Source organism: Homo sapiens, chromosome 1 (genome assembly GCF_000001405.40).
Source record: "Homo sapiens chromosome 1, GRCh38.p14 Primary Assembly".
NCBI classification, from domain to species: domain Eukaryota; kingdom Metazoa; phylum Chordata; class Mammalia; order Primates; family Hominidae; genus Homo; species Homo sapiens.
The window spans coordinates 51183632-51209550 of record NC_000001.11 but is presented as its reverse complement, the minus strand read 5'-3'; the positions used below and the strand labels follow the sequence as shown (position 1 = coordinate 51209550).

At 42.7% G+C, this 25919-nt stretch overlaps 1 long non-coding RNA gene and 1 pseudogene across 1 annotated transcript in view, besides 4 other annotated features; one reads left to right on the top strand and one right to left on the bottom strand.

Moving 5' to 3' along the window:
* The window catches only part of LINC01562 (long intergenic non-protein coding RNA 1562), a 40002-nt gene extending 25546 nt beyond the window's left edge, over positions 1-14456 (top strand). The window contains exon 2 of the long non-coding RNA NR_147076.1: positions 12223-14456. This is a non-coding gene — a long non-coding RNA (long intergenic non-protein coding RNA 1562). The remainder of the gene's footprint in view (positions 1-12222) is intronic.
* Positions 5739-5838: a silencer, noted in NCBI's record as "silent region_872". NCBI's record gives its function as "represses an Ori minimal core promoter by ATAC-STARR-seq in GM12878 lymphoblastoid cells {active_cell/tissue: GM12878}" and the evidence as "EXISTENCE:reporter gene assay evidence [ECO:0000049][PMID:35858748]".
* Positions 5869-5938: a silencer, noted in NCBI's record as "silent region_871". NCBI's record gives its function as "represses an Ori minimal core promoter by ATAC-STARR-seq in GM12878 lymphoblastoid cells {active_cell/tissue: GM12878}" and the evidence as "EXISTENCE:reporter gene assay evidence [ECO:0000049][PMID:35858748]".
* Positions 12098-12258, bottom strand: LOC107985472 (mitochondrial import receptor subunit TOM5 homolog; annotated as a pseudogene).
* Positions 23057-23556: an enhancer, noted in NCBI's record as "NANOG-H3K4me1 hESC enhancer chr1:51651667-51652166 (GRCh37/hg19 assembly coordinates)". NCBI's record gives its function as "activates a minimal SCP1, AML or CMV promoter by ChIP-STARR-seq in naive H9 embryonic stem cells {active_cell/tissue: H9 hESC(naive)}" and the evidence as "EXISTENCE:reporter gene assay evidence [ECO:0000049][PMID:30033119]".
* Positions 23557-24058: an enhancer, noted in NCBI's record as "NANOG-H3K4me1 hESC enhancer chr1:51651165-51651666 (GRCh37/hg19 assembly coordinates)". NCBI's record gives its function as "activates a minimal SCP1, AML or CMV promoter by ChIP-STARR-seq in naive H9 embryonic stem cells {active_cell/tissue: H9 hESC(naive)}" and the evidence as "EXISTENCE:reporter gene assay evidence [ECO:0000049][PMID:30033119]".

The following is a 25919-nucleotide window of genomic DNA, read 5'->3' as shown; positions in this document are numbered from 1 at the left end:
CCGGGAGGCAGAGCTTGCAGTGAGTGGAGATTGCACCACTGCACTCCAGCCTGGGTGACAGAGTGAGACTCTGTCTCAAAAAAAAAAAATTAAAAAAAGAATAAAGTTTAAAAATCAATCAAAGTAATATACTCACATTGTTTAAAAAGTCAGATAATACCATAAGGCTTATGATTAAAAAATGTGATTCCCTATCCTTGCTCATCTTTAACCTCAAACCCCCTCCCCAAACATTTTTAGCCATTCTGGCGTTTACTTCCATTAAATAGACAATTTGCTTGTATACTTACTTTTTTTGACCTATCAATTTTAGACATTATCTTTTGAATTTCTGCTATGAAAGATGAGGATTTAGCCCTCTTTCATCACTCTAGATCTCTATTTTTCCCCTAATCTAGTTAAAATATATTTTTTCACTAAATCAAAATTTACTGAATTATTATGAATGTTGTTTACTGCTAAGCTAAATGATATACCATAATTACATTTCCTCATATACATTTTTCTTGCTGGAGATATTAATTTTTTTTATTTGCTAAATTTTCTCTCTCTCTCTCTTTTTTTTTTTTTTTGACAGAGTCTCACTCTTGCCCAGGCTGGAATGCAGTGGCACAATCTCGGCCCACTGCCACCTCCACCTCCTGGGTTCAAGCAATTCTCCTGCCTCAGCCTCCCAAGTAGCTGGGATTACAGGCACACACCACCATTCCTGGCTAATTTTTGCCTTTTTAGTAGAAATGGGGTTTCACCACGTTAGCCAGGCTGGCCTCGAACTCCTGACCTCAGGCAATCCACTGCCTTGGACTCCCAAAGTGCTGGGATTACAGGTGTGAGCCACCACACTCTGCCAATTTGCTCAATTCTCTATGTCACTATTTTCTACATGATTAAATATATCAGATAATTTATCTATTCCATTTATTTTCCTGAACATATAGCTCCCAAAGCCCTCTACTCTCCTAGTCCAATCTTGATGCATGCTGAACAGCTGTCATTCTAGGATTATCCTTTATCACCATCGTGAGGATTCTCTTTGACTCTGTTGTGTATTTCCTCTTTTTATCTTTTTATTATTATTTTTCTTTTTTCTAGTTTATATCTCCATGAAAAATATATTTCCTCTTTTAAGAATCTTAGATCTTTCTCTTTTTTGGGTTTACTCTCTGTTTTTCTTTTTCCTTTTTTTTTGACACAGGGTCTCGCTCTGTTGCCCAGGCTGGAGTGCAGTGGTACAATCATAGGTCACTGACACCTCCAACTCTTGGACTGAAGGGATCCTCCTGCCTCAGCCTCCTGAATAACTGGAACTACTGGCACATGCCACCATAACCAGCTAATTTTTTTTTTTTTTTTGTAGCGATGGGGTCTCCGTATGTTGCTCGGGCTGGTCTCGAACTCCTGGGTTCAAGTGATCCTCCTGCTTTGGATTCTCAAAGTGCTGGGATTACATGTGTGAGCCACTGGGCCTGGCCTGGGTTTACTCTCTCATTTTGGTGGCACACATCCTATAGTAGCTTCCCAAAACAAAGTTACACAAAGTAATTTTTTGGAGACTTTGCAAGTCTCAGTATGTCTTAATTTTCATTTCCCACTCGATTGGTAGTTTTCCAGATATAGAATTCTAAGTTGAAAAAAAGTTTTACACAGGATGTTTAAGGCATTGCTACTTTATATTCCTAGTGTTTGTTGTTAAGACATTTAATATCATTCAAATTATCTCTCTATCCCTTGTATGATACTATTATTTTTCCCCTAAAGCTGGAGCATACTTTCTTTATCTCCTAGTGTTCTTTTTTCTTTTCTTTTCTTTTCTTTCTTTCTTTCTTTTTTTTTTTTTTGAGACAGGATCTTGCTCTGTTGCCCAGGCTGGAGTGCAGTGGTGCCATCTTAACTCACTACAACCTCCACCTCCCGGGTTCAAGCCATTCTCCTGCCTCAGCCTCCTGAATAGCTGGGATTACAGGCTCCTGCCACCACATTGGGGTAATTTTTGTTATTTTTTTTTTAGTAGAGATGGGGTTTCACTCTGTTGGCCAGGCTGATCTTGAACTCCTGACCTCAAATGATCCTCCCACCTCGGCCTCCGAAAGGGCTGGGATTACAGGCGCGAGCCACCATGCCCAACCAGTTTCTGTCTTTTTAAATGGGGTCTTGCTATGTTGCTCAGCCTGGTCTCGAACTCCTGGCCTTGAGTGAGGCTCCTGCTTCAGCCTCCCAAAGTGCTGGGATTACAGTTGTGAGCCACCATGCCCAGCTGAGTTTATACCTTTAAAACAATCATTTGTTCTCACTGGGGCCGGGTGTGGTGGCCTGTAATCCTAGGACTTTGGGAGGCTGAGGTAGGTGGATCACTTGAGGTCAGGAGTTCGAGACCAGCCTGCCAACATGGAAAAACCCTGTCTCTACCAAAAAATACCAAAAAAAAAAAAAAAAAAAATTAGCCAGGCATGGTGGTACATGCCTGTAAGTCCCAGCTACTCAGGAGGCTAAGGTGGGAGAATCACTTGAACCCAGGAGATGGAGGTTGCAGTGAGCTGAGATCATGCCACTGCACTCCAGTGCAGGCAACAGAGTGCGACCCTGTCTAAAAAAAACAAAAACAAAACAAAACAAAAAAACCCCCAATCATTTGTTCTCCTTGTATTGATGTTTTGGGAGAGGAGAAGGGATAAGTATATGGTTACATGTGTTATGTTAGAACTGGCCCAATTGACCAGAAATTAAAACATTGAAATGATAACATCAATGGTGATAAGATTGTGGTGAAATCTTATGTGGGAAATCTGTTGTGGGAACTCATATGTTGTTGATATCAGTCTAAAGTAGTATAATCCCTTTGCAATATGGAAATCTGTTCCTATGTTTTTTTGTTCTTTTTTTTTTTTTTTTGAGACAGAGTCTCTCTCTGTCACCCAGGGCTGGAGTGCAATGGTGTGATCTTGGCTCACTGCAACCTCCGCCTCCTGAGTTCAAGCGGTTCTCCTGCCTCAGCCTCCCAAATAGCTGGGATTACAGGCGCCCGCCACCACACCTGGCTAATTTTTATATTTTTAATAGAGACGGGGTTTCACCATGTTGGCCAGGCTAGTCTCGAACTCCTGACCTCAGGTGATCCACCCGCCTCAGCCTCCCAAAGTGCTGGGATTACAGGCAGGAGCCACTGTGCCCAGCCTATTGCTATGGTGTTAATATGTCTCCCCAAAAGCATGTTTTGGAAACTTAATCCCCAATGCAAGTGTTGGGAGGTGGTGTCTAATGGGAGGCATTTAGGTCATGAGGGCTCCAACCTCATGAGTGGATTAATGCCAATTATAACAGGGTTTGAGGTTGCAAGTTTGCTGTCTTGCTCTCTCTCATCCTCTCTTGCCCTTCCACCTCTGCCAAAAGATAATGCAACACAAAGGCCCCCTTCAGATGCTGAACCCTCGGTCTTGGACTTCCTAGCCTCTAGAATTATAAGAAATAAATCTCTGTACTTTATAAATTGCCCAGTCTCAGGTATTCTGCTGTAGCAGCACAAAATGAACTAAGACATCTGTATTGAGTCATAAAAATGCTGTGACTTTTATTTTATTATTATCATTATTATTTTTTGAGACAGAGTTTTGCTCTTGTCACCCAGGCTGGAGAGCAATGGCACGATCTCTGCTCACTGCAACCTTGGCCTCCCAGATTTAGGTGATTCTCCTGCCTCAGCCTCTGGAGTAGTGGGGATTACAGGTGCGCACCACCATGCCCAGATAAATTTTTTGTATTTTTAGTAGAGACGGGGTTTCACAATGTCACCCAGGCTGGTCTTGAACTCCTGACCTCATGTGATCCAACTGCCTTGGCCTACCAAAGCGCTGGGATTACAGGCGTGAGCCACCATGTCCAGCCAATGCTTTGACTTTTAACTGGATATCCTTTGAATTTATTTATTATTTATTTATTTATTTATTTATTTATTTATTTATTTATTTATTTTGAGATGGAGTTTCTCTCTTGTTGCCCAGGCTGGAGTGCAATGGCATGATCTCAGCTCACCGCAACCTCTGCCTCCCAGGTTCAAGCAATTCTCCTGCCTCAGCCTCCCGAGTAGCTGGGATTACTGGCATGCGCCACCACACCAGGCTAATGTTGTATTTTTAGTAGAGACGGGGTTTCTCCATGTTGGTCAGGCTGGTCTTGAACTCCTGACCTCAGGTGATCCACCTGCCTCAGCCTCCCAAAGTGCTGGGATTACAGGTGTGAGCCACTTCGCCCCACCTCTATGAAATTATTATAAACAAACACGGTTGTTTGTATGTATGTATGTATTTATTTATGTGAGACTAGTCTCACCCTGTCACCCAGGCTGGAGAGCAATGGTGTGATCTCGGCTTACTGCAACCTCCACCTCCTGGGTTCAAATGATTCTCCTGCCTCAGCCTCCCGAGTAGCAGGGATTACAGGCGCCCACCACCGCGCCCAGCTAATTTTTGTATTTCTAGTAGAGATGGGGTTTCACCATGTTGGCCAGGCTGGTCTCGAACTCCTGACCTCGTGATCTGCCCGCCTTGGCCTCCCAAAGTGCTGGGATTACAGGTGTGAGCCACTTTGCCCAGCTGGTTGTTTATCTTAATGAAAAATTAGAGGCACAAAAAAATTTTTTTTTGAGATAGAGTCTCACTCTGTTGCCCAGGCTGGAGTGCAGTGGTGCGATCTCGGCTCACTGCAAGCTCTGCCTCCTGGGTTCATGCCATTCTCCTTCCCCAGCCTCCTGAGTAGCTGGGACTACAGGTGCCCACCACCACACCTGGCTAATTTTTTTGTATTTTAGTAGAGACAGGGTTTCACTGTGTTAGCCAGGATGGTCTCGATCTCCTGACCTCATGATCTACCCACCTCGGCCTCGCAAAGTGCTGGGATTACAGGCGTGAGCCACCGTGCCCGGCCAAGAGTCACAAAAATTTACATCAACCCCAGAATGTTCAAATTCAGTAGATTCTAGCATATCCAGTTGATAATATTATATAGTAATTATTTAAAAATATGAGGCCAGGTGCTTTGCTTCATGCCTGTAATCCTAGCACTTTGGGAGGCCAAGGCAGGAGGATGGCTTGAGCCCAGGAGTTTTAGACCAGACAGGGCAACATAGTAAGACCTTATCTCTATAAAAAATATACAAAAAATATGAATTACATTTAAATCAAACATAACAATAAGTGCAATGAAAAGGGCACAAACATATGTTCCCGTGGATAAGCAATGTAAACTTTATATATCTATTAAGGGAACATGCAAAAATAAAACCAGTTGTTTTAACAAGGTAGAATTAGGGAGGTTTTATTTTTGCTTGTTTCTTTCTTTCTTTCCTGTTTTTAGAAACAGGGTCTTGCTCTGTCACCCAGGCTAGAATGCAGTGGCGCGATCATAGCTCACTGTAACTTCAAACTCCTAGGCTCAAGGGATTCTTTTGCCTCAGCCTCCTGCGTAGCTGAGACTACGGGTGCGTGCCACCATGCCCAGCCAATTTTTTTATTTTTAGTAAAGACAGGGCCTCTCTATGTTGTCCAGGCTGGGCTTGAACTCCTGTCCTCAAGCGATCCTCCCACCCTAACCCCCACCTCCACTGTTTCTTTTTTTTAAAAAAATCATTTTATGTTGTTATAGAAATGTTTCCATAATTAAAAGATTAAAAAAAAACCCTCAAGCCCAAAGCTGACAAAAATCATAGTGATTGTGCCTACCAGGCCTCTAAGATGAAGATGGAAACTAAACCATTCAGTCAAACATCTGAAAGTTTCAGAACTGCCAGGTCTTTGATGTTGGGTAGACTAAACAACCAGATGTTTGACTGAAGTTTTCATTTTCATCTGAAAGGCTGACATCATGCAACTATAGCCTGAGTTCATAACTGATGTCAGTTACCATAAGGTTCAATTAATTGCTAACATGGCCCCAGGCAGCTCTCCTGGCTTTCCTCATTTGGTACTCAAAAATATCGTCTTTGACTTGCTCTTAGCTTTAGGTGTTACCATAACTCTTTCATTAGTCTTCATTATCTAAAGAATAAAGGCTAAACTGCTTAACCCTTCATAATGTGGCTCCAACTGACTTCACCAGCCCCGTCTCTAATCATTTCCTTCCCTGACAAAGTCTATATTCTCCAGATGCTAGAGATACAGTCCTTGACCCTCAAAATATTCATAGTTTTATTGTCGTTGGCTAGTGGATACCACTATTATCATTCATGTAGCTATTATGTGCTAGAGTGCTAGGGCTTTGTATACACTATTGAGTTTAATCTTCACTGTAACCTCTTGTGGCATTATTATTTTCATTTTACCAGTGAAGAAAGAGAGGCTCAGAGAAGTAAAATATCTTGCTCAAAGTCATAACCATTAAGTAACAGAGCCAAGATTAAGCCTATTGGATTCCAAAGCCTGTGTTCTTAATTACAACACCACAGAGACATGTATACTAATACATTTACTAAGGTATTTGGGTGGCTACAGTAGACTTATGGAGAGAATGAGAACTATGAAATGACAGGAAACAGGTGGAAACAGGCAAAGGTTTAGTCCAAGAACCATTTATAGAGTGCTTGATATGTGCTGGGCCCTATGGCTAGTCCTAGGGACACAGAGAAGTCAAATATCATTTCTACCCTGAAGGAGAAACCAGACACCTAAAATTAGGTAGAAAGCATAGGTGTTCTAGAAATGGAGCCAGCAGGAGGAATGGTGACATACATGTCCAGGGCATAGCTGGGATACATGGTCTCAGTCCAAAAGTATGGGAAAAGGGGAGAGATTCAGTGAGATCCCAGGTGTCAAGTGACTTAGAGAGAGTGCCCCAGGAAGATCTCTATCTCTCCACAGGAGTATTTGGGAGGTGAGGAAAGAGTAAAAATTGTTACCCCATGAGAATCAAGAAAGCACTGAAGGATAAAACAGGCACAACTCCTTAAAACAACAATAACAATTCATTTATTCTACTAGTTCCTATCCTGTGCCAGCTGTCAGGTGGGCCCTAGGGATTCAGAGAAGAGTCAGACACAGTCCTTCCCTGTAGCGGTCATTGAGGCTGACGCATTCTCTCTATAAATACGTATGGAAAACTTACTATGTGTGAGGCATTGTTCTAGGCACTGCGGATACATCAGTGAACAGAACTGACGTGCCTTCATGGAGCTTAGCTTCTGTTAGGAAGAAACAGGCAGATAACGCATAAAGAAAGAACATATATATTATATCAGATGGTGAGAAGGGCCAGAAAAAAAATAAAGCAAGAAAGGAGGATAGGAAGTATCAATGAGATAGAGGAGTCCAGGAAGGCCCCTCTGAAAGTTTATATTTAAGCAAAGACCTTGTATTTTCACAAAGAGGAAAGCATTCCAGTTATAGGGAAGAACGAGTGCAAAGACCCTGCGGCTGGAGTATGCTTGGTGTAATTTGGAAACAGCAAGGAGGCTAGATTAACTGAAGCAGAGTAAATATTATAATAATTTTGAGGCCGGGCGCGGTGGCTCATGTCTATAATCCCAGCACTTTGGGAGGCCTAGGTGGGTGGATCACTAGAGGTCAAGGGTTCGAGACTAGCCTGGCCAACATGGTGAAACCCCGTCCCTACTAAAAATACAAAAATTACCTGGGTGTGGTAGTTTGCACCTGTAATCCTAGCTACTCGGGAGGCTGAAGGAGGAGAATTGCCTGAGCCTGGGAGGCAGAGGTTGCAGTGAGCTGAGATTGCACCATTGCACTCCAGCCTGGGTGGCACAGTGAGACTCCTTCTCAAAAAAAAAAAAAAAAAAATGGAATTTTGACTTTTCTTCTGAAAGAGATGGGTAGCCATTGGAAGGTTTTGAACCAAGAAGTCTTATGGTCTACTTTATGATATCACATTTTCATTGTGTTTTTTGTGTTGGTAATAGACTGAAGGAGGAAAAAAGTAGAAGGAAGTAGGGAGATCAGCTAGGAAGCTATTGCAACGGTTCAGAACAGAGATGATGGCGGCTGGGTTCAGGGTGATATCAGTAAAGGTAGTAAGTGGTCTGATTACAGATACAAGCATACCTTGTTTTTTGTTTTTTTGTTTTTGTTTTTGTTTTTGTGAGACAGAGTCTCACTCTGTTGCCCAGGCCGCAGTGCAGTGGTGCGATCTAGGCGCACCACAACCTCCGCCTCCCGGGTTCAAGCAATTCTCCTGCCTCAACCCCCCAAGTAGCTGGGATGACAGGCGTGTACCACCATGCCTGGCTAATTTTTGTAATTTTAGTAGAGACGGGGTTTCACCATGTTGGCCAGGCTGGTCTTGAACTCCTGACCTCGTGATCTACCTGCCTTGGCCTCCCAAAGTGCTGGGATTACAGGCATGAGCCATCACGCCCAGCCGCATACCTTGTTTTTATTGTGCTTCACTTTATTGTGCTTTGTAGATATTGTGTGGTTTTTTTTCCCCACAAATTGAAGGTTTGTGGTAACCCTTCATCCAGCAAGTCTATTGGTGCCATTTTTCCGGTAGCATGTGCTGACTTCATGTCTTTGTGTCACATTTTAGTAATTCTCACAATATTTAAAACTTTGCCTTAGCTGGTTGTGGTGGCATGCACCTGTAGTCCCAGTCGCTCAGAGGCTGAAGCTGGAGGATTGCTTGAGTCCAGGAGTTTGAGGCTGCAGTAACGCTATGATTATGCCACTGCACCCCTGCCTGGGTGACACAGCGAGACTCTTGTCTCTAAAAAAACCCAAACATAGCCGAGTGCGGTGGCTCATGCCTATAGTCCCAGCACTTTGGTAGGCCAAGGCAGGTGGATTACCTGAGCTCAGGAGTTTGAAACCAGCCTGTGCAACATAGTAAGACCTCCACATCAATTTATTTATTTATTTATTTATTTTTTTAATTTTATTTTTTTTGAGACAGAGTCTCGCTCTGTCGCCCAGGCTGGAGTGCAGTGGCGGGATCTCGGCTCACTGCAAGCTCCGCCTCCCGGGTTCACGCCATTCTCCTGCCTCAGCCTCCCAAGTAGCTGGGACTATAGGCGCCCGCCACTACGCCCGGCTAATTTTTTGTATTTTTAGTAGAGACGGGGTTTCACCGTTTTAGCCAGGATGGTCTCGATCTCCTGACCTCGTGATCCGCCCGCCTCGGCCTCCCAAAGTGCTGGGATTACAGGCGTGAGCCACCGCGCCCGGCCTCCACATCAATTTATTAAAAAAAAAGAAAAGAAAACCAAACATACAAAAAAACTAATACAACTTTGTCATTATTATTATCTGTTATGGTGATCTGTGATCAGTGATCTTTGATGCTACTATTGAAATTGTTTTGGGAGTGCTACAAGCTGTGCCCATATAAAATGGTGAACATAATCAGTAAATGTTGTATGTGTTCTGACTGCTCCACCAACCAGCATTCCCCTGTGTCTCTCTCTCCTCAGGCCTACCTATTCCCTGAGACATGACAATATTGAAATTAGGCCAATTAATAATCCTACAATGGTGTCTAAGTAAGTGTTAAGTGGAAAGAAGAGTCGCATATTTCTCACTTTGTTTTTATTACTTATTTTTAAATTTTTGATATTTATTTATTCATTTATTTATTTATTTTTGAGACAGAGCCTTGCTCTGTCACCCAGGCTGAAGTGCAATGGCACAATCTTGGCTCACTGCAACCTCCACCTCCTGGGTTCAAGCAATTCTCTTGCCTCAGCCTCCCAAGTAGCTGGGATTACAGGCACCTGCCATCGCACCCGGCTAGTTTTTTGTATCTTTAGTAGAGACGGGGTTTCACCATGTTGGTCGGGTTGGTCTCGGAACTCCTGATCTCAGGTGATCCACCCGCCTCAGCCTCCCAAAGTGCTGGGATTACAGGCATGAGCCACCACTCCCGGCCATATTTACTTTTTTTTTTTTTGGAGATGAGGTCTCACTGTATTGCCCAGGCTGGTCTTGAACTCCTGAGCTCAACCGATCCTCCTGCTTCGGCCTCTCCAAGTGCTGGGACTACAAGCATGAGCCACTGTGCCCAGACTATTTAATGTTTTGTAGAGATGGGGGGTCTTGCTATTTTGCCCAAGCTGGTCTTGAACTTCTTGCCTTAAGTGATCCTCTTGTCTTGTCTCCCAAAGCACTGGGATTACAGGAGTGAGCCACTGTGCCTGGCCATTTCTCACTATAAATCGAAAGCTAGAAATTATTGTTTAGTGAGGAAGGCATGTCAAAAGCAGAGATAGGCTGAAAACTAGGCCTCTTGTGACAGTTTGCAAAGTTGTGAATGCAAAGGAAAAGTTATTGAAGGAAATTAAAAGTGTTGGCCAGGTGCGGTGGCTCACGCCTGTAATCCCAGCACTGTGGGAGGCTGAGGCAGGTGGATCACCTGAGCTTAGGAGTTTGAGACCAGCCTGGCCAACATAGTGAAACCCCATCTCTACTAAAAATATAAAAAATTAGCTGGGTGTGGTGGCAGGTGCCTGTAATCCCAGCTACTAGGGAGGCTGAGGCAGGAGAATCGCTTGAACCTAGGAGGAAGAGGTTGCAGTGAGCCGAGATCGTGCCATTGCACTCCAGCCTAGGCAACAAGAATGAAACTCCGTCTTAAAAAAAAAAAAAAAGATGTTGATGGGCATGATGCACATGTGTAATCCCAGCTACTTGGGAGACAGGCCAGAGGGTCACTTGAGCCCAGGATTTTGAGACCAGCCTGGGCAACATTTATTGTTATTTGTTTGAGACTGTCTCAAATAAATAAATAAATAAATAAATAAATAAAATGCTACTCCAGTGAACATATGAATAATAAGAAAGCAAAACTGCCTTATTGCTGATATGGAGAAAGTGAGAGTGATCTGGATAGAAGATCAAACCAGCTACAATATGCCTTTAAGCTGAAGCCTAATCCAGAGCAATTCTATGAAGGCGAAGGGAGATGAGGAAGCTTCAGGAGACAAGTTTTAAGCTAGAAGAGGTTGGTCCATGAGGTTTAAGAAAAGAAACCATATCCATGACATATAAGTGCAAGGTGAAGCAGCAAGTGCTGATGTAGAAGCAGCAGCAAGTTATTCAGAAGATCTGGCTGAGATAGTTGATGAAGGTGAGTACACTAAACAACAGATTTTCTTTTCTTTTCTTTTCTTTTTTTTGACATCACTGATCTGAAGGCAAAACAACAGATTTTCAATGTAGATGAAACAACTTTCCATTGGAACAAGATGCCATCTAGAACTTTTATAGCTAGACAAAAGTCAATGCCTGGCTTCACAGCTTCAAGGGAGTGGCTGACTCTCTTGCTAGGTGCTAATGCAGCTGGTGACTTTAAGTTGAAGCCAGTTCCTCATCGATCATTCTGAAAATCCTAAGGCCTTTGAGAATTATGCTAACTCTACTCTGCTTATGCTCTAGAAATGAAACAACAAACTCTGGATGACAGCACACCTCTTTTTTACAGTATGGTTTCATATATATATATATATATTTTTTTTTTTTTTTTTTTTTTTTTTTTGAGACAGAGCTTTGCTCTGTTGCCCAGGCTGGGGTACAGTGGTACGATCTCGGCTCCTGGGTTCAAGCAATTCTCCTGTCTCAGCCTCCTGAGTAGCTGGGATTACAAGCGTGTGCCACCATGCCTGGCTAATTTTTGCATTTTTAGTAGAGACGGGGTTTCGCCATGTTGGCCAGGCTGGTCTTGAACTCCTGATCTCAAGTGATCCCCCCACCTAGGCCTCCCAAAGTGCTGGGATTACAGGCGTGAGCCACCATGCGCAGCCTGTATATATTTTTTGAGACGGTCTTGCTCTGTGATTCAGGCTGGAGTGTAGTTGCACAATTACAGCCCACTGCAGCCTTGATCTCTTGGACCAAGTGATCCTTCCACCTCAGTCTCCTGAGTAGCTGGGACCACAGGTATGTGCCACCACACCCAGCTAATTATTTTATTTTTTATACTTCCTTATAGTTTTATATTTTAGCTACGAAGGTCAGTTACCAGAGCCAAAGTTGTTCTTAACAAGCAGAATTTGTTGAATATGTCCATTCAAAGGGTCTCTTACACCTTTCTGGGCCTTTTCACTTGCAGAGAGGAGTAGAAACTGTAGCCAGATTCTTCGTATTATGCATTCACACATGATGCCCAATCTTCATATGCTGTCCAATTTCTTTAAGATAAAAGGAGTGACTTGCAGTAGGGCCATGTAGCTGAGGAAGTTCAGTATGGAGGAGATCACATCTTTGCATGTCTTCTGTTCTGTTTCATCTCCTCCAGGTCCAGCTTCGGTGTGAGGCCCTCAATCCAGAACATCATGGCTCTGACTCACCAGCCTTCAGCTGCTGCACTCTGCTCTCCTCAGTGGCTGCCTTGCACCTGGAACTCAATTTTTTTTTATTTTTATTTTTTTGAGATGGAGTCTTGCTCTGTAACCCAGGCTGGAGTGCAATGGCGCAATCTCGGCTCACTGCAACTTCCACCTCCCGGGTTCAAGTGCTTCTCCTGCCTCAGCCTCCTGAGCTGGGATTACAGTTGTCCACCACCATGCCCAGCTAATTTTTGTGTGTTTTTTTTTTAGTAGAGACAGGGTTTCACCATGTTGGCCAGACTGGTCTTGAACTCCTGACCTCAGGTGATCCGCCTGCCTTGGCCTCCCAAAGTGCTGGGATTACAGGCATAAGCCACCACACCCAGCCAATTTTTTAATTTTTTAAATTTTTTGTAGAGACAGGGTCTTGCTATGTTGCCCAGGCTGATCCTCAAACTCCTGGCATCAAGAGACACTCCTGACTCCACCTCCTAAATGCTGGGATTAGAGATGTGAGCCATTGTTCCTGGCCCCTATTGAATTTTTTAGTCCACTGTTGAGACCTATTGATCAGAAAAAAGGTTGCTTTCAAAAGGTTATTACTAAAAAAAAAAAAAAAGAAGAAGAAGAAGAAAGAAAAAAGATTACAAAGATTACTGCTCATACTCATTCACAATGCATTTAGTCACCCAAGAGCTCTAATGGAGATGTACAAGGAGATGAATGTTGTTTTCATGCCTGCTAATACACATCCTTTCTGCAGCCCATGGATCAAGGAGTAATTTAAACCTGCAAGTCTTATTATTTAAAATTACATTTCATAAGGCTATAGCTGCCATAGATAGTGATTCTGCTGATGGATTTGGGCAAAGTACATTGAAAACCTTCTGGAAAGGATTCACCATTCTAGATGCCATTAAGAATATTTGTGGTTCCAGGGAGGAAGCCAAAAACCAACATTTACAGGAGTTTGGAAGAAAGTGACTCTATAACTCATGGATGACTTTCAGAGGGGCTCAAGACTTCACTAGAGGAAGTAACTGCAGGTATGATAGAAGTAGCAAGGGAACTAGAATTAGAAATGGAACCTGAAGATGTGACTGAATTGCTGCAATCTCATGATAAAATTTAAATGGATGCAGAGTTGTTTCTTATGGATGAGCAAATAAGTGATTTCTTCTTCTTTTCTTTTTTTTTTTTTGAGGTGGAGTCTCGCTCTGTCACCCAGGCTTGAGTGCAGTGATGTGATCTCTGCTCACTGCAACCTTAACCTCCCAAGCTCAAGCGATTCTCCTGCCTCAGCCTCCCAAGTAGCTGGGATTACAGGTGTCCACCACCATGACTGGCTAATTTTTGTATTTTTAGTGGAGACAGGGTTTCACCATGCTGACCAGGCTGGTCTCGGACTCCTGACCTCAAGTGATCCTCCTGGCTTGACCTCCCAAAGTGCTGGGATTACAGGTGTGAGCCACCATGCCCAGCCTCTTTTTTTTTTTTTTTTTAAATAGAGACAGAGTCTCACTGTGTTGCCCAGGCTGGCAATCATGGCTCACTGCAACCTTGACCTCCTAGACTCAAGCCATCCTCCTGGTTCAACCTTCCAAGTAACTAGTACTACATGTGTGCACCACCCTGCTCAGCTAATTAAAAATAATTTTTGTGAGGAGATGGGGGTCTCACTATGTTGCCAAGGCTGGTTTAGAATGCCCAAGCTCACGTGATTCTCTCACTCTGGACTCCCAAAGTTCTGGGATTACAGGTGTGTGCCATCGTGCCTAGCCAGAAAGTGGTTTCTTGAGATGGAATCTACTCCTGATGAAGATACTGTGAAATGTAGAATGGTAGAAATGACAACAAAGGATTTAGAATATGACATAAACTTAGTTGATAAAGCAGCAGCAGGGTTTGAGAGGACTGAGTCCAATTTTGGAAGATATTCTACTATGAGTAAAATGCTATCAAATAGTACTGCATACTACAGATAAATCTTTCATGAAAGGAAGTGTCAATTCATGCGGCAAATGCTACATTGTCTTATTTTAAGAAATTGTCACAGCTGGCATGGTGGCACACACCTGTAATCCCAGCTACTTGGGAGGCTGAGGCAGGAGAATCGCTTGAACCCAGGAGGCGGAGGTTGCAGTGAGACGAGATCGTGTCATTGTACTCCAGCCTGGGCAACAAGAGGGAGACTCGGTCTCAGAAAAAAAAAAAAAAAAAAAAAAAAGAAAAGAAATTGTCACAGCCACCCCACCCTTTAGCAAATACCACCACCCTGATCAGTCAGCAGCCATCAACATGGAGCCTCCACCAGCATAAAGATTATGACTTGCTGAAGGCTCAGATGATTGTTAGCATTCTTTTTTTAGGAATAAAGTATTTTGGGGCCAGATGCAGTGGCTCACACCTGTAAGCACTTTGAGAGGCTGAGGTGGGCAGATCGCTTGAGCTCAGGACTTTGAGACCAGCCTGGGCAACATGGCAAAACCCCATCTCAGGCTGGGAGCGGTGGCTCACGCCTGTAATCCCAGCACTTTGGGAGGCTGAGGCGGGTGGATCACTTGAGGTCAGGAATTTAAGACCAGCCTGGCCAACATGGCAAAACACTGTCTCTACTAAAAATGCAAACATTAGCCAGATGTGGTGGCACGTGCCTGTAATCCCAGCTACTCAGGAGGCTGAGGCAGGAGAATCACTTGAACCTGGGAGGTGGAGGTTGCAGTGAGCTGAGATTATGCCACTGCACTTCAGCCTGGGCAACAGAGTGAGACTCCATCTCAAAAAAGAAAAAACTCTACAAAAAATACAAAAATTAGCCTGGTGTGGTGGTGCACACCTGTGATCCCAGCTACTTGGGAGGCTGAGTTGGGAGGATCACTTGAATCCAGAAGGTGGAGGCTGCAGTGAGCCAAGATCACACCACCGCACCCCAGTCTGGGTGACAGAGCTAGACCCTGTCTCAACAACAACAACAACAACAACAAAAAGTATTTTAAAATTAAGATAAGTACATTTTTTTTCTTTTCTTTTCGAGATGGAGTTTTGCTTTTGTTGCCCAGGCTGGAGTGCAGTGGCGTGATCTTGGCTCACTGCAACCACTGCCTCCCGGGTTCAAACGATTCCCCTGCCTCAGCCTCCCAAGTAGTGGAGATTACAGGCGCCTGCCCCGCACCTGGCTCATTTTTATATTTTTAGTATAGACGAGGTTTCACCATGTTGTCCAGGCTGGTCTCGAACTCCTGACCTCAAGTGATCCACCTGCCTCACCCTCCCAAAGTGCTGGGATTACAGGTGTGAGCCACTGTGCCTGGCCAATAAGTACATTTTTAAAGACAGAATGCTATTGTGCACTTAATAAACTATAGTAGAAACATAAGTTTTCTATGTACTGGGAAACCAAACCAAAAAATTTGTGTGACTCACTTTATTGCTATATTCACTTTATTGTGATGGTCTGGAACTGAACCCACAATATCTTTGAGGTATGCCTCTGTACCATATTTTAAAGGTAGAGCTTAGTAAGATTTTGCTGACAGGTCAAATTCAGGTGTGAAAGAGTAAAGTCAAATGTTATACCAAGGTTTAACCATAAGGAAATGAAAGACTGGAATTGTTTACTTTGAAGAATGAGACTGAGGAAGAAGCAGGATTCAAGGGAAAGATCTGAAGCTCAGTTTGGACATGCTAAGCTTTATATGCATTTTAAATATTCAGGTGGAGCTGCTAAGTAGGCAGTTTGACACATGAGTTGTAGTTCAGGGGAGAGATCCAGGCTAGAGATAAAAATGTGGGATCTATCAGTACGTAGATGATATTTGAAGTCACAGGACTGAATGAGGCTGCCCAGGGAGCAAGTACATACAAGAGAAAAGTGCAAGGAATGAGCTTCAGGAACTCCAACATTTAGAGGTCAGTATATGGGCAACCAGAAAGGGAGACTGAGGGGGAATTATTCAAATTAGATTAAGTGAAAAAAGCCAGGCACAGAAAGACAAATATTGCATGTTCTCACTCATATGTGAGAGCTGTAAAATGTTGATCTCATAGAGGTGGAGAGTGGAATGATAGTTACCAGAGGCTGGGTGGGGGTAGGAGGATGCCGAGAGATTTGTTAACGGGTACAAACATATGGTTAGATAGAAGGAATAAGTTCTAGAGTTTGGCAGCACAGTAGGGTGAATATAGTTAACACCAATGTGCTGTATATTTCCAAATAGCTAGAAGAGAAGATTTGAAACGTTCTGGACAAAAATAAATGATAAATATTTGAGGTGATGCATATCCTAAATACCCTGATTTGATCATTACACATTGTATGCATGTATCAAAGTATGACATGTACCACACAAATATGTACAATTATCATGTATTAATAAAAAAGTAAAAAAAGTAATTAGCATGAACCTAAAAAAAAGAATAGAAAGAAAACAAGGAGAGGGTAGATTCTAGCAGTCAAATGAAGGAGGCACTTCTAGGTAAAGGGAGTAATCAATTCAATCATGTGCTGCTGAGAATTGACCCTGGGACTTAACAACATGGAGGCCATTTGTGGTCTTGACAAAAGCAATTCCAATGGGATATTGGGTCACAGCCAGATTGGGAAAGTCTAAGTGAGACTTAGAGGAAAGGAAGTGGACACAGTGAGATTAGATAAGACTTTTGAGGACTTTTCAGTAAACGGGAGCAGGAAATAGGATTGAAATTGGAAGGGTATGTGGAGTCACGGGAGGGTGATTTTTAAAATGGGAGAAATAATAGCACTTGTGTGTGTGTGTTTATGTGCTTATAGGAATGGCCTAGTACAGGGTTTCTCAATTTGGGACTGACATTTTAGGCAGAATAATTCTTTGTTAAGAAGGGCCATCCTCTGCATTGTAAGATGTTTAGAAAGCTTCTTAGCATTCTGTCCACTAGAGGCCAGTAGTGCGCCCTGCTTCTTTCCTGGGTTGTGATAACCACAAGAGTCTCCAGAAATTGCCAAATGTCTCTTGTGGAAGGGGGATGGCAAAATTATTCCTGATCTAGTAATAAATAAATAAATAAATAAATAAATAAAATAAAAAATATTGGTGATGCAGAATATAGAATGGAAGAATTGCTGGGGGAAATTTCTTTGAGTTGATGGGAAGGGATGGAATCTACTGCATAATAAGAATGGGTCTGCTAGATCACAGACTGCATCCACATTAACAGAGAAAGCAGAGGTGTGAGCACTGATGTAGCTAGGAGTTAGATGGGGGTGATGGGAACATATGGAAATTCCCCTCTAGTTGCCTGTGTTTTCTCGGTAAAATAAGCAAAGTAAGCAGCTGGAAAACAAGCACTGAAAAGAAGGTAAGTCACCATAGCATTTGCAGGAAAAAACAAAAAAATCAAAAGGAGGTATTGAAAGTTTTAGGAGACAGGAGATCTCATGGAGGTCATCTCAGAGAATGAAACATAAAATGGACTGGAGAAATACGTTGTAATTGCTAAGCAGCTTTACTATTCAGCAGTAAAGACATTAAGCGTAGAGTAAGACTAATTAACATTGGTATGTATTTTTCTCCAGTCCTACTCCAGGTCTTGGTCCAGGTACTGAGTAAGCAGAGAGTTGGATACAAGCAGAACTGCAGATTTGCCAAGAGAGTACCATGAAGTGAAGGGAGCAAGGGAGTCCAGGGGATATGCAAGAGAGTGATTATAATGATTGACCATGATATTTAAGCTGGATATAGAAGAATTTGTGTAGGGGATGGAAGATTGTGAAAAGGAATGTGGTAAGATCATCAGTGGCATATAGGTCCCTGTGGGATTGGAAGATTGTTGGAGTTGATATTAAAAAAGTGAGCTGGAAATATAGAAAGTCAGAGGGTGGGATCCCTGAAATTGAAATTATGGAGAGACACATTTATTGGTAGGGACAAGGTCTAGGGTATGAACATGGTAGTGAGTTTCAGGGCAGGGTCACAAAAGCAGATACACAGAGACATAAGGTATCCAATTCTGGGGGCTGAGGAGTTACAGCAAGACCTTACTGCAGTAACTAACATAAAAGGTCACCAACTTCCACTCTACCTTAGATGATCAGCCAAACTATTTATGGGAACATCATCCCCCTTGCTAGTGAGTGATTTAGGGATGGCCAAGTGGACAAGGGAAAGTATTGTGGGGAGCTTCTGGAAAATACTTCCTTATTCTACAGAAAGAAGAAGTTCCTCTTCTTCCTCTGGATTTTGTGATGCTTGAAACCTCTGTAGCCATCCTGTTACCAGCCTGAAGATGAAGCTAATGGTGAAAAAGGCAGATAAAGGGAAAATACGTGGGCTCTTTTTTTCTTTTCTTTTCTTTTTGTTTTTTTTGAGACCAGGTTGTCCAGGCCGGAGTGCTGTGGCTCCATCACAACTCACTGTAGCCTCAAACTCCTGGGCTCAAGCTATCCTTCCACCTCAGCCGCCTGAGTAGCTGGGACTAGAGGTGTGTGCCACCACACTCTGTTAATAATAATAATAAAAATATATAGAGACATGGTCTTGCTATGTTGCCCACGTTGGTGACCTCCTGGCCCCAAGTGATTCTCCTCCCTCAGCCTCCCAAAGTGCTGGGATTATAGGCATGAGCTACCATGCCTGGCAGACAGGGACAGTATTTCATCCTGAAGAAATTAGAGAGCCAAGGGAAGGGTTTTGGCAGGCTAAACAAACAAAAGGTTTGTTTAGGTTTTGAGGATAAGCATTTTCAAAAGGGAAATTCTTTTTCTCTGCCTTTTCCTGTAAGTAAAATTCCTATTGATTTCAAAAATCTACTCATTCATTCAGTAACTATTTACTAAGCACTTACCATGTGCCAATGAAAGTTACAGGAACTTAGGATACAGTGATGGACAAAACAAACATTCCTGACACCATGGATCTTTTGTCCTGTTCAAGCCAGATAGTACCTTCTCCAAGATGTCTGCCTGAAGTCTCTCAATCATACTTGCTATTTCCTTCTGCTTTTATGGCGCATTGTACTATGTTAATGACATTTATTGTAGTCTGCTTCAAGTTGGAGCCATGCTTCAAATGTTAAATATCTTCCACACTACACCAGGGGGTTCTTGAGTTTAGTGTCTACGTTATTAAACTGTCTCCCAAGAGCAGAATTGGTTTGGAGCAAGTAGAAGTGGATCTTGGTTGAATGAGCAAATTATTCTGTCTACAGCCTGAAGGGGTTAGTCCTACATGGTGGAGCTTTTATTGCAGCCGCTGCCAGGCATTCATTTGGAGGAATTGGGAGCCAATCTGTCATGGGCTTAGGCGATCTGGGAGCTGTATAGAAATGACATTCTCAATGAGTGATTATTACTGATAAGTGATAACAAAGTTCATTTGTATGACTATGGGCATAATAGGAAATGAAGGTCTGGATAATTCTATTATGAAATTCAAATAGCTGTCCAGTTTAATGAATGTAAATGGCTCTTTGATGAAGACATGGAATGATGCCAGTGAAAATGGTGACTGCAAGTAAGAAAATTTTTCTTTGGTTTAAACTTCAAAGACTGAATAACTGGGTCTTATATTTGTTTCCATATTTCACAAATTATTGAAATTTAGAGGAAAGATCTCTGATTTTCTTTAAAAAAGGATTACTGTAAAAACCTAAAGCAATTGTTTCTGCTGGATGTCAAATAGTTGCTGTTGTGTTGCTGCACAACCAACAGAGGGAGCCCTTGCCATAGAACCTAATAACTTCCTTACAGAGTTTGTACATTGGTAGAAAGCCAATGGAAGAACAGAAAAAATAAAAAGAATAGAGGAGTTAAGATGTTAAACAATTTGGTTTTAAACTGTATTGTGAATCTGGAATCTCTTTTATGAAACTGGGTTTGGGGGATTACAGATATTTCAAAAGAGTGTGTACGTGTATTGGATTTTTTAAAAGCTCTTTACATACTGCCATAGTGATCATTTATCTTTAAAGCACACAATTATATTACTCTTCTGCTTAAAACTCTCCAATGGTGTCTTCATCACTCATATGACAAATCCAACCTTATGGGGTTGTAAAGATTAAAGCAGATAATATATAGCATAATGCCTGGCGCATAGCTAAATTATCAGTAAATTCTTAGCTATTATTTTTTACTACTGTGTCTTTTACTGTACTGATGGTTCAGACTCGATGCTTTCCAAATGGCCCCATTCCTACTCTGGCTTTAATCTGCTTAACTCCCTTCTTGTCCTAGAGGTTTCAGGACCTCAGAAATCTTGCCTCACTTACAGTGTGGGAGCTCTTTTGGTACATATCATATTGTAATGATTTGCTCACATGTCTCTCCGACTTGAGAGCAGAAGTCATATCTCATAAGTTGTTCTGTCTCCAGGGCCTAGTAATAGAGCAACCAACTGTCCAGGTTTGCTTGGGATTATTCCAGTTTTGTTTTGTTTTTTTGAGATGGGGTCTTGCTATGTTGCCCAGGGCTGGGCTCAAGCAGTCCTTCTGCCTCACCCTCCTGAGTAGCTGGGATTATGGGCACACACCACCAGACCCCAGGCTATTTTTTGTTTTTTAGTTTTGTTTTTTGGAAAAAAGGCAAACACATTTATTCTTTTTTTTTTTTTTTGTAGAGACGAGGTTTTTCTATGTTGCTCAGGCTTGTCTCGGACTCAGCTCAAGTGATCCACCTGCCTTGACCTCCCAAAGTGCTGGGATTACAGGCATAAGCCACTGTGCCCAGCTCATACAAATTTATTAACATGTACACAGGGAGAACCATAGAGTGATTACCCTGACTGTTCCAGTTTTAGCATTGAAAATCTCATGTCCCTGGAACTCCTCAGTTCCAGGCAAACCAGGACAACTGGTCACCCTACCACAGATTCTGATACATAATAATAGTTCAATCAATAAATTTGTTTACCTAAGCAAATTATCTTTGATGAGTCAGTTTTGCTTCCTGGGCTTAAGTCTGTCCAACTATAACCAAAAATTTTAAACAAGATAATGTCTAAGGCCTATTTCAACTCTGATATTTTATTTTATTTATTAATTATTATTATTATTATTTCTTAGGGAGATATTCTCACTCTGTCACCTAGGCTGGAGTGCAGAGCTGTGATTATAGCTCACTGCAACTTCAGTCTCCTGGGCTCAAGTGATCCTCCCGCTTCAGCCTCCTGAGTAGCTAGGACTATAGGTGCAGTAACACCACGTTTGGCTAATTTTTTAAAAAAATTATTTTTTATATTTTGAGACAAAGTCTTGCTCTGTCACCCAGGTTGGGGTGCAGTGGCATGATCTCGGCTCACTGCAACCCCTGCCTCCTGGGTTCAAGCGATTCTCCTGCCTCAGCCCCCTGAGTAGCTAGGATTACAGGCACCTACCACCACACTGCCTGGCTCATTTTTGTATTTTTGGTAGAGACGAGGTTTCACCACGTTGGCCAGGCTAGTCTCAAACTCCTGACTGCAAGCATGAGCCACTGCACCCAGTCCCCTTTCTTTTTAAAGACAAGATCTCACTCTGTCACCCAACTGGAGTTCAGTGGCAGGATCATAGCTCACTTCAGCCTTGAACTCCTGGCCTCAAGTGATCCTCCTGCCTTGGCCTCCCAAAGTGCTGGGATTACAGGCATGAACCACCACACCTGGCCTTTTAATTATTTTTACAGATGGGGTCTTGCTCCATTGCCTAGGCTGGTCTTGAACTCCTGGGCTCAAGCAATCTTCCTGCCCTGGCCTCCCAAAGTGCTAGGATTACAGGTCTGAGCCACCACATCCAGCCCAACTCTGATGTTTTATAACTGGATGTCACATTTATTGCCTGCCTTCACTCATCATTTTACTTTATACTCAGGAAATCTTAAATAGTCACCATTCTAATTTTTTTTAAAAAGCACTGCTGAAAATAGTCATGATACATAAGTAAAAAGTAAGATATAAATCTTATATATGCCATAATCCCAATTTTGTAAATATGTATATTTTTATGTTTAAGAGAAGAAAAGTGAATGCAATTGTGAACTTTTAAGTTATGGATAGTTTTTCCCACTTTCTGCATTTTCAAAACTCTCTACAATGATTGCATGATTTTATAGGCAGTCAGCAAGAGATACAAAACACTAATCTTTATGCTGATGTGGCAGTGGGTATACTTCATTTATTTATTTATTTTTTGAGACAGAGTCTCACTTTGTCATGCAGGCTGGAGTACAGTGGTGGGATCTTGGCTCACTGCAACCTCTGCCTCCCAAGTTCAAGTGATTCTCTTCCCTCAGCCTCCCAAGTAGCTGGGATTACAGGCACACACCACCATGCCTGGCTAATTTTTGTATTTGTATTTTAATTAATTAATTAATTAATTAATTTTGAGACAGAGTCTCACTCTGTTGCCTAGGCTGGAGTGCAGTGGCACGATCTTGGCTCACTGAAACCTCCACCTCCCGGGTTCAAGCGATTATCCTGCCTTAGCCTCCCGAATATCTGGGATTACAGGCATGCACCACCACACCCGGCTAATGTTTTTATATTTTTGGTACAGATGAGGTTTCACCATATTGGCTAGGCTGGTCTCGAGCTCCAGACCTGAAGTGATCCACCCGCCTCTGCCTCCCAAAGTGCTGGGATTACGGGCGTTAACCACCACACCCGGCCTTATTTTATTTTATGTTTTTGAGATAAAGTCTTGCTCTGTCACCCAGGCTGGAGTGCAGTGGTGTGATCTCAGTTCACTGCAACCTCCACCTCCTGGGTTCAAGTGATTCTCCTGCCTCAGCCTCTTGAGTAGACTACAGGCATGCTCCACCATGCCCGGCTGATTTTTGTATTTTTAGTAGAGAGCAGTTTTTGCCATGTTGGCCAGGCTGCTCTTGAACTCCTGACCTCAAGTAAGCTGTCCGCCTCAGCCTCCCAAAGTGCTGGGATTACAGGTGTGAGCCACCATGCCCGGCCAGCAGTGGGTATATTTTAAATAATTATTTTTCAGAAAATTATTATCTTTGCATGAAGTTGTTAACAAAAGTTAAGTCACTTGGCTGGGTGCTGTGACTCACGCCTGTAATCTCAATGCTTTGGGAGGCCGAAGCAGGAGGATTGCTTGAGCCCAGGAGTTTGAGACCAGCTTGGGCAAAATGGTGAGACCCTGTCTCAAAAAAGAAAAAAAAAAAAGAAAGAAAGAAAGAAAATGAAAAAATAAGTTAAGTAACTGACTGTATGTTTCCTTCAGTACAATGGTATTCAAACTTTTTTTTTTTTTTTTTGAGATGGAGTCTTGCTCTGTCACCCAGGCTGGAGTGCAGTGGCACAATCTCGGCTCACTGCAAGCTCCGCCTCCCGCGTTCACGCCATTCCCTTGCCTCAGCCTCCTGAGCAGCTGCGACTACAGGTGCCTGCCACCATGCCTGGCTAATGTTTTGTATTTTCAGTAGATACGGGGTTTCACCGTATTAGCCAGGATGGTCTCGATCTCCTAACCTCGTGATCCACCCACTTCAGCCTCCCAAAGTGCCAGGATTACAGGCGTGAGCCACCGCGCTGGCCTCAAACTTTAATGTAGGTCTGGAGGGGCCTGAAATTCTGCATTTCCAACAAACTTCCAGATGATGTTGGTGCTTCTGGTCTGAGGAACACATTTTGAGTAGGAGGCTTTAGGGTATATTAATTCTAATCCACATTTGACTATTAATGGCAAAAATGTTTTAAACTCTACACTCTATACAGTGTTAATTACAAAAATTTTAACCATCTCCTTCCTTTGGCAGTGCTTCCCAAACTAACACACCGGGTAAATATAGGCAGCTTCTCTTAACTTTCTGAGAGCTGGTGGAGGACGTATGGGAAACTTTGTAAAATCCTTGAGGCATAGTGGTTGGGAATTCCTGCCTTACAGTTAGGTAAATTATAGTTGTCTTTTGTAAACAGGATGTCAAATACATCAAAACCTCTCAGATCAACCAAAATATCAGGATGCTAATGTAGCGTTGATAGATGCTATGTTACTCAAAATATTTATTTACAAAAATATTGCCCATGACCAACCACATTCATTTCACAACAGACTAATGGGTCACTGCCTTTGAAAACATGGTCTAGACAATGTTGCTCAAAGTCAAATTATCATTAAAGTCAAGATATCGTTAATTCTAAGTCAAATCAAACAGACTTCTTTTTCTTTTCTTTTTTTTTTTTTTTTTGAGACTGAGTTTCTCTCTTGTTGCCCAGGCTGGAGTGCAATGGTGCCATCTTGGCTCACTGCAACCTCTGCCTCCTGGGTTCAAGTGATTCTCCTGCCTCAGCCTCCCGAGTAGCTGGGGTCACAGGCATGTGCCACCACACCTGGCTAATTTTTGGTATTTTTAGTAGAGACGAGATTTCGCCATGTTGGCCAGGCTGGTCTCAAACTCCTGACCTCAGGTGATCTGCCCACCTCGGCTTCCCAAACTGCTGGGATTATAGACGTGGGCTGCTGTGCCTGGCCTCAAACAGATGTTTACACTTGCAGAATTTTTGAAGTGGAAACTTGTGGATAAATTTTCTAGCAATAAGGTATTGATTAAAATTTTTTTGTATTTTTATTCAAAAAAATAGAGACAGGGTTTCACTATGTTAGCCAGGTTGGTCTTGAACTTCTGGCCTCAAGCAATCCTCCCACCTCAGCCTCCTGAAGTGCTAGGATTGCACGCATGAGCCACCCATGCCTGGCCATGGTGTTGATATTTATTGAATATCTATTATATTTCAGTAATTATGATAACTATCTTACATCATTTATCTTACTTAATACTCATACCGAAGCTGCAAGGCAAGCACTCTTAACTGCATTTTTCTTATTTGGAAATTTAACCTTGGGGAAGATTAAGTAATGTGCCCAATGTTACAGGTTGAGTAAGTGGCAGAGGTGGAATTCAAACTCCAAATGCCTGGCCTTAAGTGGCGCTGACCCTTCCCTACCTTCACCATCATCACGTAGACGTTCTGTAAAAGCTTAGCAACCCTCGTATTTGGAATTCATTCAGACAACTTCTGGTTTTCCCAGTTAAATCCTATCATCTCTAAATATCAATTCCAATTTTTTTCTTTTATTATTGTTTTTTCTTCTTTTTTCTCAGCCTTAGAAGCAGAAGATTAAAATTCCAAATTTAGCCCAGGCACAGTGGCATACACCTGTTATCCCAGCACTTTCAGAGGCCAAGGCAGGAGTACTGCTTGAGCCCACAAGTCTGAGACCAGCCTGGGCAATATGGCGAAACCTCATCTCTACAGAAAAAAAAAAAATTAGCTGAGTGTGGTGACACACACCTGTAGTCCCAGCTTCTTGGGGCTGAGGCAGGAGGATCACTTGAGCCCAGGAGTTGGGCTGCAGTGAGCCAAGATTGCACCACTACACTCCAGTCTGGATGATAGACCAAGACTCTATCTCAAAAAAAAAAAAAAAAATCCAAATTTGTAAGAGAAAAATAATTTAACTCAACTTGGAGCAGGTGTAAACCCCCATCCAGTCTGCTATAGTCAAAACGATGTCATCTCCTAGTACAGTTATGGCCACCAAGCCCCTACTGTATGGGTTGTTGCTGGGGGGTGATTTCAAAGAAGGAGGCTAGGACAGGGCAGTCACACAAACATATTTACTATACCCGTATTGCTCCTCAGTTGAGAAGGGGGATTTTCTGTCTCCCGCTCCAGAAAAGCCCTCACTGTAGCAACAC